Source organism: Homo sapiens, chromosome 4 (assembly GCF_000001405.40).
Source record: "Homo sapiens chromosome 4, GRCh38.p14 Primary Assembly".
Taxonomy (NCBI): Eukaryota; Metazoa; Chordata; class Mammalia; order Primates; family Hominidae; genus Homo; species Homo sapiens.
Window position 1 is genome coordinate 86,796,243 of NC_000004.12, and position 13,886 is coordinate 86,810,128.

General features: G+C 37.2%; 1 protein-coding gene across 24 annotated transcripts in view; it reads left to right on the top strand.

Moving 5' to 3' along the window:
• Positions 1-13,886, top strand: part of PTPN13 (protein tyrosine phosphatase non-receptor type 13) — a 220,847-nt gene that overhangs the window by 201,928 nt on the left and 5,033 nt on the right. For all 24 annotated transcript variants that reach the window (XM_011532165.3, NM_080685.3, XM_017008511.3 and 21 more), the window contains 6 exons: positions 632-687; positions 2,859-2,962; positions 7,467-7,615; positions 9,037-9,127; positions 11,318-11,655; positions 13,527-13,742. In XM_011532165.3, coding sequence (XP_011530467.1) covers positions 632-687; positions 2,859-2,962; positions 7,467-7,615; positions 9,037-9,127; positions 11,318-11,655; positions 13,527-13,742 — 954 coding nt within the window. The remainder of the gene's footprint in view (positions 1-631; positions 688-2,858; positions 2,963-7,466; positions 7,616-9,036; positions 9,128-11,317; positions 11,656-13,526; positions 13,743-13,886) is intronic.

The window sequence follows — 13,886 nt, forward strand, 5'->3', positions numbered from 1 at the left end:
GAAAAGCACATACCAAATGTGCATATCTAAATAATCATTAATTCACACTTTCATCTTTTTCATCTTTGTCTCTTTCCTATTAATATTTTTAATATAAGAAATGAAGGCCAGGCTGGCTTCAGTGGCTCACACCTGTAATCCCAACACTTTGGGAGGCTGAGGCAGGAGAGTAGCTCAAGGCTAGGAGTTTAAGACCAGCCTGGGCAACATAGTGAGATCCCATCTCTACAGAAAAAAAAAAATTTTTAATTACCTGGGCATGGTGACATGCACCTGTAGTCCCTAGCTACTCAGGAGGCTGAGGCAGGAGGATTGCTTGAGCCCAAGAGTTTGAGGTTACATGAGTCATGATTGTACCACTGGACTCTAGCCCAGGCAACAGACTCCATCTCTTTAAAAAAATGAAAAGCCAAGATGAGTGTGAAGTTACCTAAGTGGGAGCAGCAAAGACTGTTGGGCCACTGATGCCTCAGCCACTGTTTGGAGTGTATTAATTGAATGTCATATGTGTCTTTGTAATATAAGGATGAACAATAACAGTAAATATAGGAAATAACTAACAGGAAAAAAATAGTATGCGATTTTTTTTGTTACAATGGGCTGATTTGATTCTTATATATTTTTATTGTAGGCCACCAAAATGAATGGCTGTGAAGAATATTGTGAAGAAAAAGTAAAAAGTGAAAGGTGAGAAAATAATTTTCAAAGTATCCATAATGCTTCTGTCTATCTATAAATGCTCTGAAGATTTCCATTTGTTTTCCAGTATAAAATAAGCATAGTTGAGTAGATTATAAAACTATGGTTGAATATTAAGAATTTTTAAAATTTTCGGGCCAGGTGCGGTGGCTCATGCCTGTAATCCCAGTGCTTTGGGAGGCTGGGGCGGGCAGATCACTTGAGGTCAGGAGTTCAAGACTAGCCTGGCCAACATGGTGAAACCCTGTTTTCTACTAAAAATACAAGAACCCAGGCATGGTGTCTCATGCCTGTAATCCCAGCACTTTGGGTGGCTGAGATGGGCAGATCACTTGAGGCCAGGAGTTGGAGACCAGCCTGGCCAACATGGTGAAACCCTGCCTCTACTAAAAATATAAAAATTAGCTGGGTGTGGTGACACATGCCTGTAATCCCAGCTACTCAGGAGGCTGAGGCAGGAGAATTGCTGGAACCCAGGAGGTGGATGTTACAGTGAGCCGAGATCGCGCCACTGTACTCCAGCCTGAGCAACAGAGCAAGACTCTGTCTCAAAAAAAAAAAGAAAGAAAAAAAGTTTTAAATTTTTTGTTACAAGGAGGTTCTAGTGACATGTGAAAATGTGTTTATTATACTATTGCTTCAAGAAAGCAATATTCTCTTAACTATTGGAAAAAATGAATGAAAGCGTGACCCTAAATGGAAATGTGGCAACAATCATGATAGTGACTGTCTTCACCTATTGGGTTATGGGTCATTTATTTTTCAGTTTCTCTATTTTTCTATACTTCAAAATTTTTTAATTTTTAATGAGAAAATGAAACCAAAAAAAGTAAGAAACCCACAAAATATGTTTTAAAACCCATAAAAATATTTTTAAACAATTTCTAATTATAAAGTAAGGTCTTTTTTTACAAAAATATATATGAGGGAAAGGGTTTTTATCTATGAGGGGACTTCAAAAAGTTCATGAAAAAATAGAGTTAAAAGATAAAAATATAAAATATAAACTTTATTAACATAAGCTCCATCAAGTTTAGCACACTTTTGTAGGTGATGATACCAGCCATTTAGTTAATCCCCAAAAAACTGAAGGTCCTGCAAATTTAACCATATCAATGCAGTCTTTTTTACATTAACTGAAGAAAAATGCATGCCCTTTACAGATTTTTTGAGATTGAGAAACAAAAAGTCAGAAGGAGCCAAATAAGGACTCTAAGATGGATTCCTGGTAATTTCCCACTGAAGCTCACAAAATTGCCTTGTTTGATGAGACGAATGAGCAGGAACATAGTCACACAAGAGGAGAACTCTCCAGTGAAGCTTTCCCAGACATTTCATGGATGTAGAGCTTTTTAACCCAGCAAAATTAGTGTTGTCACCCACAGTGAGTTAGAACAGGGGGAAACATCTGTCATAAAAGCAGCGTAATTGCTGCCCTGTTGACATTTTGGGAGCATTAGTCCATGTCCTGGTGTATACTAATGTCATCAGATGAAAGTACTCTGCTTTGTTCCCCCTGAATATCAGAAAGTTAAAAACGTATTCAGGCTTTTACGTAATCCTTTTTCACTTCACCTTAGCACTAAACACCGTTCTCCTACCTAGTTTCTCTTTCCTAGCCATCCACCTTACCAAAGAGGGCATCTGTTATGCACTCCCAAAATATTGAGAACTTGTACTGGGTTTCATTACATTAAGTGAGTGCCCAGGTACAGGAGTGTCCTTCTGGCCTCCTGTTGTAGCAAAAGGCTATACCCATCAATAGAGACTTCTTTAAATAAATTAAGATACATTCATATTTTGCAGTAGTGGGCAGATGCTGAAAAGAAGGAGAAAGAGCTATATGCCGGTACAATTGTAATCACTCATCCATGTTGAAGGATAGAAATAAAACCACCACCTTCTCCATCCTCAAATGGACTCCTTCAGTTTAAAGTTCAAAAACGGGATCTGTCCAAGGATAAATTTTAAAACTGTATTAAACCATTCTACATCTCAGTTGTTTACATCTACCAATAAATTTTAAGAATTGTGGCTTTGGTTTTCTTAGACATTCTATTTTAAAATACTATAATAATTGTAGAGAAAATCATTCAGGGCCATGTTTAATTTGAGTACAAAAATGAAGAAAATGTTTCAAATATGTTTTGTTTTCATAGCTTAATTCAGAAGCCACAAGAAAAGAAGACTGATGATGATGAAATAACATGGGGAAATGATGAGTTGCCAATAGAGAGAACAAACCATGAAGATTCTGATAAAGGCAAGAATTTTAATGACAGTTTTTTCCTCAAAAATAATGAATTGGAAAAATGTTTTTAAGTGATTTTCAGACTATATGGATATGCTGTTTTACCATATGTATACATTATTTGCTTTTTTTTTTTTTTTTCTTTTTTTGAGACAGAGGCTGGGAGTCCAGTGGGGCGATCTCGGCTCACTACAACCACCACCTCCCCAGTTCACTACAACCACCACCTCCGCAGTTCAAGCAATTCTCCTGCCTCAGCCTCGAGTAGCTGGGATTACAGGCGGGTGCCACCATGCCCAGCTAATTTTTGTATTTTTAGTAGAGACAGGGTTTCACCATGTTGGCCAGGCTGGTCTGGAACTCCTGACCTCAGATGATCCACCTACCTCAGCTTCCCAAAGTGCTGGGATTACAGGCATGAACCACCGCACCCAGCCACAGTATTTGCTTTTAAACATAAAGTTAAATCATGTAGACAAAAATCAATATTCATTATATTACCAGATATTTGCACAGTTATATTCTAAAATTCTCAGTGGCTTGGAGTAAAACATGCAAATAAATGTATACATACTTTAAGTGGAAATATGAAGTCATAATTTTGCCATTCTGGAAGGAGAAGTCAAGGGGCACTTTTTTTTTTTTTTTTTTTTTTTTTTTTGAGACAGAGTCTCTCTCTGTCGTCCAGGCTGGAGAATACAGTGGCACAATCTTGGCTCACTGCAACCTCCATCTCCTGAATTCAAGCAATTATTCTGCCTCAGCCTCCCAAGTAGCTGGGATTACAAGTGTGCGCCACCATGCCTGGCTATTTTTTCTGTTTTTAGTAGAGATGGGGTTTCACCATGTTGGCCAGGCTGGTTTCTAACTCCTGAGCTCAGGCAATCCACCCACCTCGGCCTCCCAAAGTGCTGGGATTACAGGCGTGAGCCACACCGCACCTGGCCAGAATTATTATTATCCTAGAATCCCAACCTCATCTTTTATGATCGGGAATCAATTGGTCTGTTTCACTATTACTGCCTTTTCATTTTATTACTGAGCCAATGGAGAAATGAAATTCTATCCAGTGTTTAATTCGTCTTATTTTATATCAGGAAGTGTCACTATAATGAAAGAACACGGTTTTGTCATTCAAAGCAAAGTCTATTTTTTTTTTTTTTAAGAAATTAACAGCTTAGGCTGGGCGTGCTGGCCCACACCTATAACCCTAGCACTTTGGGAGGCCAAAGCAGGCTGATCACCTGAGGTCAGGAGTTCAACCAGCCTGACCAACAGGCAAAACCTCGTCTCTTCTAAAAATACAAAAATTAGCTGGTCATGGTGGCAGGCACCTGTGATCCCAGCTACTCGGGAGGCTGAGACAGGAGAATCGCTTGAACCCCAGAGGCAGAGGTTGCAATGAGCCGAGATTGCGTCACTGCACTCCAGCCTGGGTGATAGAGTGAGATCCTGTCAGAAAGAAAGAAAGAGAGAGAGAGAAAGAGAGAGAAGGAGAGAAGGGAAGAAAGCAGGGAGGGAGGGAGGGAGGAAGGAAGGAAGGGAGGGAGGAAGGAAGTTAGTTTAATTAACACTTTCTTCACTTGGCTAGACTGTTGGTATGTGTACAACATGCATGTCCAGCACTGTAGCCCTTGCTCATCCACCCAGCCTTTAAGTTCCTGTTGCACTGACATGCAGTTCTGTAAAAGTTATTTCATATGAGTAAATTTTGTATTCCCAGCCAACCTCTGCCCGAGCTAAATGTTAACCTTTTAGGTGTCTTGTATAGTTTTGTGTCCCTCACAGTGCCAGCATCATTGCTGCCTATATCTTAGCTGCATCATCAAAATGCTTTAATCAGCTGATTGACATAATTAAAGCTACACTTGTGCAGTCTATAGCAAGACGTTTCCCTTCCCTTTTTCTAGGATAACAGTTGCCTTCAATTATAAATAATTTCCATACAGCAGGTACTAAATTAGACCCATAGCTCTTCTAAGATAGTTGACTCAACTCCCAAAGAATTCAAGGGAATTCTTTATTTGCATGGAGAAAACTATCGAACACCAGGGATAACTGGCCCTGAGTGCCAAGGATGGATGGTGAAGAGAGAAATCAGTGTTCCTGGAGTAATCTCCCATATTAAGGAATTTCTGAAGTGTCTCTCTTACTTTCACCATGTGCTTAGAAGCTAATTTAAATGAAAAGTAGTAACAGAATTAAATTTGATAATTTTTTGTAATGAGTTCCTGAGGTTTTTTTGGGGGGTGAGGGGGCAGGTAAAAGTTTAAGTTGCATGTGTTATGCAGATTAGAATTTCAGTTACAGCTAAGCATACTTGTAAAACTTTAGGACAGCATTTCTCAAATTTGAGAACCTAAGAAGCACTGAGAATGTTTATGAACCAGTTTGAATAACATTTAATGCCATTATTTTAGATTATCAGTCTCTACTAGTGCCAGGGTGAGCAACACATTGCAATTCAAGGCACTGAAATAATTCAGTGTTTAGTTATGAGTTGGTTATTCAGGTGATCTAGAATGTGCTTTTTATATTATCTTGAAATTAAAACAAAATTTTTAAATGCTTATGTAGAAATACTGGCCTCCATGGGTCAGCAGAGCCCAGTTTAAGAAAAACTAAGCTAAGAAATATCTGAAATATGTTTGGTTTTCTGCAATCAAGCTGTTCGTAAAAAGAATTTATATGTTTTACTTATGGTCACATTTTAGTGTAAAAGTATTGAAGCAAAGGATATTGTCATTATAATTCTCAATTACCTACTAAAATGATGGTTCCATTGGCTCTGTTGGAACAATTTAAAGGTATTTATTTAACCAAAAGTCTGTTTTTTTAAAATAATTTGTTAGTCTTAACACATACCAATTTTGTATTTGTTTGATGTGCTGCAATTTTTTCATCTTTTCCCATTATTTATAAAGGCTTTCTGTATATATGAGATCAAGATTTTAGTGTGTGTGTGTGTGTGTGTGTGTGTGTGTGTGGTGTGTAAGGAGTCAGGGGAGCATAACTTAGAGAATATTGTGAAGTTTGGGATTCTTCAGAAAAATTCATCTTCTCTCACTGTAACAGAGTTCTGTTGTTGAAAGAATCCCATTTACTATTATCTAGAATACTTATTTTTAAAAATTGCCTACCTATTATGTTGTTTCTGAAATTCTGAGAACTAAGTACAATTACCTTTTTATGGCTGGTTTTGCAGGGAAAAGAAGCAAGCTGTCCCCAGGCTGCCCATGATAAACCCCTTATCAAAAATTTTTAAACAGTGCCATATGAGTCAAGAGAAGCAAAAAGAAACAACATAAACTCCTTTAGAAACTATAAATAAATGAGAGCCAAGAGCCTTAAAAACTTCTGAACGTCAGTGAGGTATCTCCTTAAAAGCTGGGTGTGGGAGTGTGCTAGGGCTGACTTTCCTGTGTTAATTGTAGTTATCAGCCTACCTATTAATTCTATTACCTTATTAATTCTCTCATATTTAAAGACTTTCCCTTTTGTAAGATGCGGTGAGAATGGGCTGAAATTAGTTCATTTGTTAGTTAAATCTGTTTTGGGGGAAATATTATTAGTTGTTGCATATTTAAAGACTTTTCTGGCCAGGCACAATGGCTCATGCCTGGAATCCCAACACTTTGGGAGGCCAAGGCAGGTGGATCGCTTGAGCCCAGGAGTTCAGGACCAGCCTGGGCAACATAGCAAAACCCCATCTCTACAAAAAAATACAAAAAATTACCCAGGCGTGGTGGTGCTTACCTGTAGTCACAGCTACCAGGAAGGCTGAGGTGGGAGGATCGCCTGAGACAGGTGGTTGACATTGCATTGAGCTGTGATTGTGCCATTGCACTTCAGCCTGGGCTACAGAATAAGACTGTGTGTGTGTGTGTGTGTGTGTGTGTGTGTGTGTGTGTATAAAATAAAATAAAGACCTTCTTAGCCAGGTACACACACACATATACATGTATTTTTTATATATACACATACATACATATATATTTATTGTGTATATATATACACACACATATATACATATATATTTATTGTGTATATATATAGAATATACACACACACATATATAAATATATAAAATAAATAAAATAAAATAAAGACCTTCCTAGCCAGGTGCAGTGGCTCACGTCTGTTATCCCAGCACTTGGGGAAGCCAAGACAGGAGGATCACTTGAGGCCAGGAGTTCAAGACCAGCCTGGGCAACATAGGGAGACCCCGTCTCTTCAAAAATATTTAAAAATTAACCAGGCACAGAGGGTGCATGACTGTGGTCCCAGCTACTTGGGAAACTGAGGCAGGAAGATCCCTTGAGCCTGGTAGATCAAGGCCGCAGTGAGCTGTGATTACAGAACTGCACTCCATCGTAGGCGACAGAACAAGATTCTATCTCTAAATAAATAAATAGACTTTCCCTTTTGTAAGATGAGGTGAACATAGGCTGAAATTAGTTCACTTAGTTAAATTGGTTCTGGAGGAACTGTTTTTAAATTGCTGTCTTCCTATTAGATCATTCCTTTCTGACAAACGATGAGCTCGCTGTACTCCCTGTCGTCAAAGTGCTTCCCTCTGGTAAATACACGGGTGCCAACTTAAAATCAGTCATTCGAGTCCTGCGGGGTTTGCTAGATCAAGGAATTCCTTCTAAGGAGCTGGAGGTAAGTGGCTTCTGCCAATGATTCTCTCCCAAAGTGTATGCATTTAGTTTGTAAGGAAAATGTATCTTTACTGGCCCAAGATTAGAAGAATTTTTGAAAATTTTCCAACTCTAAAAGCACCACCTTATCATATCTAGCAGAAAATTAATTTTTCTGATTAGGATCCCAATAATAGTGATTTAAAGGAATCACTTTAACTACTTGGAACTTGATACATTTCCCTGAAGATTATCCTTCCTGCCTCATAGTTAAGGTAAAAATGTTTAAAAAAAAAAAAAAAGCCAAGTATAAATTTCAACCATGCACTAAACTTTATAATTAGTGTATTGTAGACGTGTTTCATCATTAACAGAAGGTTCTAATTTAATACAGCTCCAAGAATGTGTGTCCTAGTTCAAAGCAGCAATGGCTCAGAGCCCTAGCTCCTGTGGTCTCATGGTACTGTCCATATTTACCACTAGAAAAGAGAGTGGTTTTGAAGTTGACCTTGCCCCTCTTCCTCAAACCATCTGCTTATTTGCCTACTTCCTAAGCTTTGTAGCCACTAAAAGGAGTTAACTTTAATAAGAGGTTCTGCTTTGTGCTTGTTGCTTTGTATATATTCCTCAAAATATTAATTCTGTTATAGATTGTGAAACTGAGGCTCACAGTAATTAAGGTATACTCTTCTCATCGCCATGCTATGGAATGATTTGTTCTTCAAGTTCTTAGATTTAAATGTCACCATCAGAAAAGTTCCATCACAACCCTTACAAAGTAGTGTTTATAAGGATTTCTTTACCACAGCAGCTTATTGATTTCTTCAAGGCATATACTACAATATTTGTTTACTTCTTTATTGTGTCTTTCTCCCAATAAGCTGTAAAGGCCAGGAGAGCCAAAATCTTATCTTCTTGCTCACCACTGTATTCCCATCACTTATTACAGTACCTTGCATATAATGAGCATGCAATATATATTTTTTGAATGAGCGAATGAATGAAAAGTGAGCAAGAGTTGACTTTAGAACCTAGGACTATCTGACCACAACACCACTACCACATGGAATATTCTATAACCCTTACAGACTATACTGTCAATAAATTGTGCTCTAGCTCATCACTTTATGGCAGAGTTGGGTTTTTTTAATTGTATTTTTTTCTAAAATATAAACACTTTTAAACAGAAGTTAAAAATTAAGACACAAAGTTCTGTCTCATAAAGTTGACTACAACGTGTTCAATTAAAAGATACTTGTAACAATATATTTCAATGCTGACTTAACAAATCACTACTGACTTTAGACTTATTTAGGACATCTGTATTTAACACTCAGAATCAGCCTTAATCAACCAATTTTGCCCCTACACATTTAAAGTATTTGAAGTTATTACTGAATTACTGCTTATCTCAACAAATTTATTTCCATGTTTTGCTTACAGAATCTTCAAGAATTAAAACCTTTGGATCAGTGTCTAATTGGGCAAACTAAGGAAAACAGAAGGAAGAACAGATATAAAAATATACTTCCCTGTAAGTTCCAGTTTGGCTTCAGATTTAATATGTGATCAGTATAATATTAATGGATTAAAATTTTTTGTGTTTAACTTACCTATCCCTCACATAACCGTGTGCATGTGCATACATTCACAGATTTATATCAGTAACAAATACATTGAAATATTCCGTGTAAATCCCCTTTTAAATTATGTAGGTATTCTGAAAATCAGTTAGAGGAACCTGAAATATTTGATAGGATATTCCTGAATTTTTACTAGTATACAGTATTAGAAATTAGTCGGTGATGCCAAATCATTAATTTTAAAATCTTTTTAAAAATAGGAACTGGCTTCTGGATGAGGATTTTCTTGGTTGGATTCATTTATCACAACCACCATCAATTTATTCCACTTATTTTTAGTTTAGAGAAATATCTATGGTAATGAATAGCTGTATATATATGCATATGACTACAGTGGTACTACCAGCCTACATTAGACATTTCAGATACCAGAAGGGAACAAAAGCAATCATTTTGGCCCGGTGCAGTGGCTCACACCTTTAATCCCTGCACTTTGGGAGGCCGAGGGAGGCAGATCACTTGAGATCAGAAGTTTAAGACTAGCCTGGCCAACATGGTGAAACCCCATCTCTACTGAAAAATACAGAAATTAGCCGAGAGTGGTGGCTCATGCTTATAATCCCAGCTACTTGGGAGGCTGAGGCAGGAGGATCGCTTGAACCCGGGAGGCAGAGGTTGCAGCGAGCCAAGATCATGCCACTGCACTCCAGCCTGGGCAACAGAGTGAGACTCCATCTCAAAAAAAAAATAGGAAAAAAAAAAGAAAAGCAGTAATTTTTACATGTATAAAAATCACATGTAAAAAAATCACACTGTGATTTTTTTTAATTATGTATGAATGTGTGTGCCAAAATACTGACCTCTAGCAAATTCTTATAATTACCAGCCACATGTATATATGTTAGCACTTTGGATTATAACATATGACACACTGACCCTATCTTTACCAAGAAACCATAAATCTAAAGATAAATAATAAAAAAAATCAATAGTGACAAGTCACATGATAAGTAATAATGCAATTGTATTTTTCTAATCCAGATAGAAAGTACAAATTCATTTTGGAAAGCTTCCTGTAAGAAATGAATCTTAGACAACATTTAAAAAATGGATCAGATCACTGTTTGGCATAAAGTATATGGGAGTTATTTTAGACAGCAAAATGGCCAGTTGAATATCTCAAAATCAGAATAGGACAAGCCATAAATCCAAAACTAATGAGTGGATTTACTCCCACAAAACAAATGACCAGTATGGACTAAGAGAAAGAAGTCAAGTGAGAAGGGCAATTGGTAGGGGATTTTGAAACCTATCATTAAAAGGTTTTAGTTTGGTAATCACAGTAATTACCAGTTAAATTTATAGATATTTGAAATAGAAATAGAAATAACTTCTAAGGTATGTAATACATATAAATTTATTCTCTTAGATAAATCTTAGACAATATAACCTCAGTGAATGATAGCTTGTACATACTTTTCACTGGAGCAGCCTGGTTTAAAAAATTACATTTTGACTATATGAAATTATAATAAAACAAAGATAAGGGCCTTTATGCCTGGATAATAAAATGAGCTGTTATTTTCTTTATTGTGTTAATTTATTGTTTTGGCTGCTTATTAAAAGAATATAATTTTATTAGGTGAGTGAGAGTTAATTATGCCAATAACATTTGCAATATATACTTTAATAGTGTTATTGTAATACTAAATTGTGTTCTATGAAAAATTTTTTGGCATTGCCTTTCAGTGCTATTATTATTATCATCATCATCATTAAAATAATGATGGAGAAGTACCAGTTGTTTTTCTTTGTTTCTCTAGTTACTTATTAGGCAATTCTAAATGCATTTATTAACTTACTAATTTTAATTTCAACTAAATCTATGTAAATAATACCAAATTTCATATGTCAGAAACTCACTAAACTAACAGCTTAGATACTTGTAACATGAGCAAAAAGAATAAACATAAAATAATTTGGCTGTGCTACAATTTGAAAATATACTTCTATTAAAATACGTTGGTGATTTCATCTGTGACTATGAGAATTTCTCATGATCTTTGACTCATGCAATTTGTAAGACTCTTGTTTAAAATGCATGATATGGATGGCTCTGTTTTGTGGTGGAAAATTCACAGATGATGCTACAAGAGTGCCTCTTGGAGATGAAGGTGGCTATATCAATGCCAGCTTCATTAAGATACCAGTTGGGAAAGAAGAGTTCGTTTACATTGCCTGCCAAGGACCACTGCCTACAACTGTTGGAGACTTCTGGCAGATGATTTGGGAGCAAAAATCCACAGTGATAGCCATGATGACTCAAGAAGTAGAAGGAGAAAAAATCAAATGCCAGCGCTATTGGCCCAACATCCTAGGCAAAACAACAATGGTCAGCAACAGACTTCGACTGGCTCTTGTGAGAATGCAGCAGCTGAAGGGCTTTGTGGTGAGGGCAATGACCCTTGAAGATATTCAGGTAAGTGAATGAAATCTTTCCCTGTTGGAAGGTGTATCTCCTAGTTGTAATCCAAGCCTGGACTCTTTCCGTGATTGCACCAATGTTATTTCTAGATAAAAGACAGTGACTTCCTAGTTCCCATGCAATGGAACTAATGCTAGCTATTTTTTCTTTATGTAATATAAGTTTAAATGTGACTGTCTTCATGAATTCTGCCAGTTTCCTCCAGTATGTCCTCTACTAAAATGGAAATGAAAATGCAGGACTTTTAATGTGATTATCATCCTTGGTGATAGCACAAAATGGCTCAGAAGTTGCATGTTGGAAACTTGTGTTTTTATGGTCAGACCTCTAAGTAGACTCATTGAAACTACTTTTAAAATCTTTAAGTAGAAAATATTCCCTCATAAAGGCAACTTAACATATTTAGGAATACATGGATAATTTTAGCATAAACAGTTGTTATTCAGATCATTCATACTGCAGTTACCTAACCACTGGATCAATCTAGCTTGAATTAGATAAGTGGCAATACCTGAAGTAAAGCTGCTACTGTTTCCTCACTCTGTGTTCTCCCTCACCTTACTACACGCCTGTGCACAGTATCCTAGCTAGATGTGAGTAATGTTTCCCATAGAAATTTAGCTATCTTAAGGAAACAGTGATTTTACTTTTATAGAAACAAAGCATATCAATTCAGTTCTATTGGTGTCATGTAAATGTAGCCTGAGAATTTCTCTCATAATTTTTGATTCATGATTTTTTATTGATTTACACTAGCTTACCTATTACTTAGGCTAGCACAGTTGTTCAATATTCTTCCAGTGATTTATCCACTTAATCCACACATTTTTATAGAACTCAACCCCTTTATAGAGATTTGGCAGTCAACAACACAGACAAAAAATATTTCTAACCTCATGGAGCTTACATTCTGAAGAGGAAATACCAGTATTGATAGTGCTGTGGAAAAAAATAGAGAAGGACAATTGGCTGGGGGAGAATGAGAAGTATGTCGTAATTTTCAACAAGGAGTCAGGGAAGGTATGAGAAAATGGCATTTGAGGAAAAATGTGAATGAGTTGAGTGAGCCATGGAGGGAATATCTGAGGAGAAAACCATTCCAGTCAGAAAGAGCCAGTACAAAAGTCCTGAGACCAAACTGTGCACATTGTATTTAAAGCCACAGAGAATCATTTGGCTTGATGAAAGTGGCCATGGGGAAAGAGAGGAGGAGGTGAGGTCTAAGAGGAAACAGGGCCAGATTAGGTAGTGTTGCAGTGACTCTGACTTTTATCTGAGGTGCATTTGGAATGGGGTCACCAGAAAAGGTTGTTATCAAAATGCAATTTGTTTTTAGGGTTTCCAAAAAGTAGTTTTTATCGATATTTAAAATGTGGATCTAGCAACCTTGTTGATAGAGGCCTTCCATGTTTTTCTTAATAGAGCCATTTAGTTTCTTCCACTTTTCCTTTGATCTGATCCTATAGACAAGCCAAAATTTGAAAGCACAATATAATATTAAGAATTAATTGTGGCCGGGCACAGTGGCTCACGCCTGTAATCTCAACACTTTGGGAGGCCAAGGTGAGTGGATCAGTTGAGGTCAGGAGTTCGAGAGCAGCCTGACCAACATGGTGAAACCCCATCTCTACTAAAAATACAGAAATTAGCTGGGTGTGGCAATGTGCGCCTGTAATCCCAGCTACTATGAGGCAGGAGAATCGCTTGAACCTGGGAGGCGGAGGCTGCAGTGAGCCGAGATTGCACCACTGCACTCCAGCCTGGACAACAGAACGAGACCCTATCTCAAGAAAGAAAAAAAAGAATTAACTGTATGTGAACAATATAACATGTCATGATCCACTTATTCTGTTATACAATTTCAGACCAGAGAGGTGCGCCATATTTCTCATCTGAATTTCACTGCCTGGCCAGACCATGATACACCTTCTCAACCAGATGATCTGCTTACTTTTATCTCCTACATGAGACACATCCACAGATCAGGCCCAATCATTACGCACTGCAGTGCTGGCATTGGACGTTCAGGGACCCTGATTTGCATAGATGTGGTTCTGGGATTAATCAGTCAGGATCTTGATGTGAGTACAAGATATTGGCTGAGTAAGCATTTGTTCAGAAATAATGATGGAGTCTAATTTTTGATAATGTGTTGTGATCTTGGGATATTTTAACTTATGAGTTTATATGACTGCCTTCATTTTCTTCTTATATTATTATAGAAA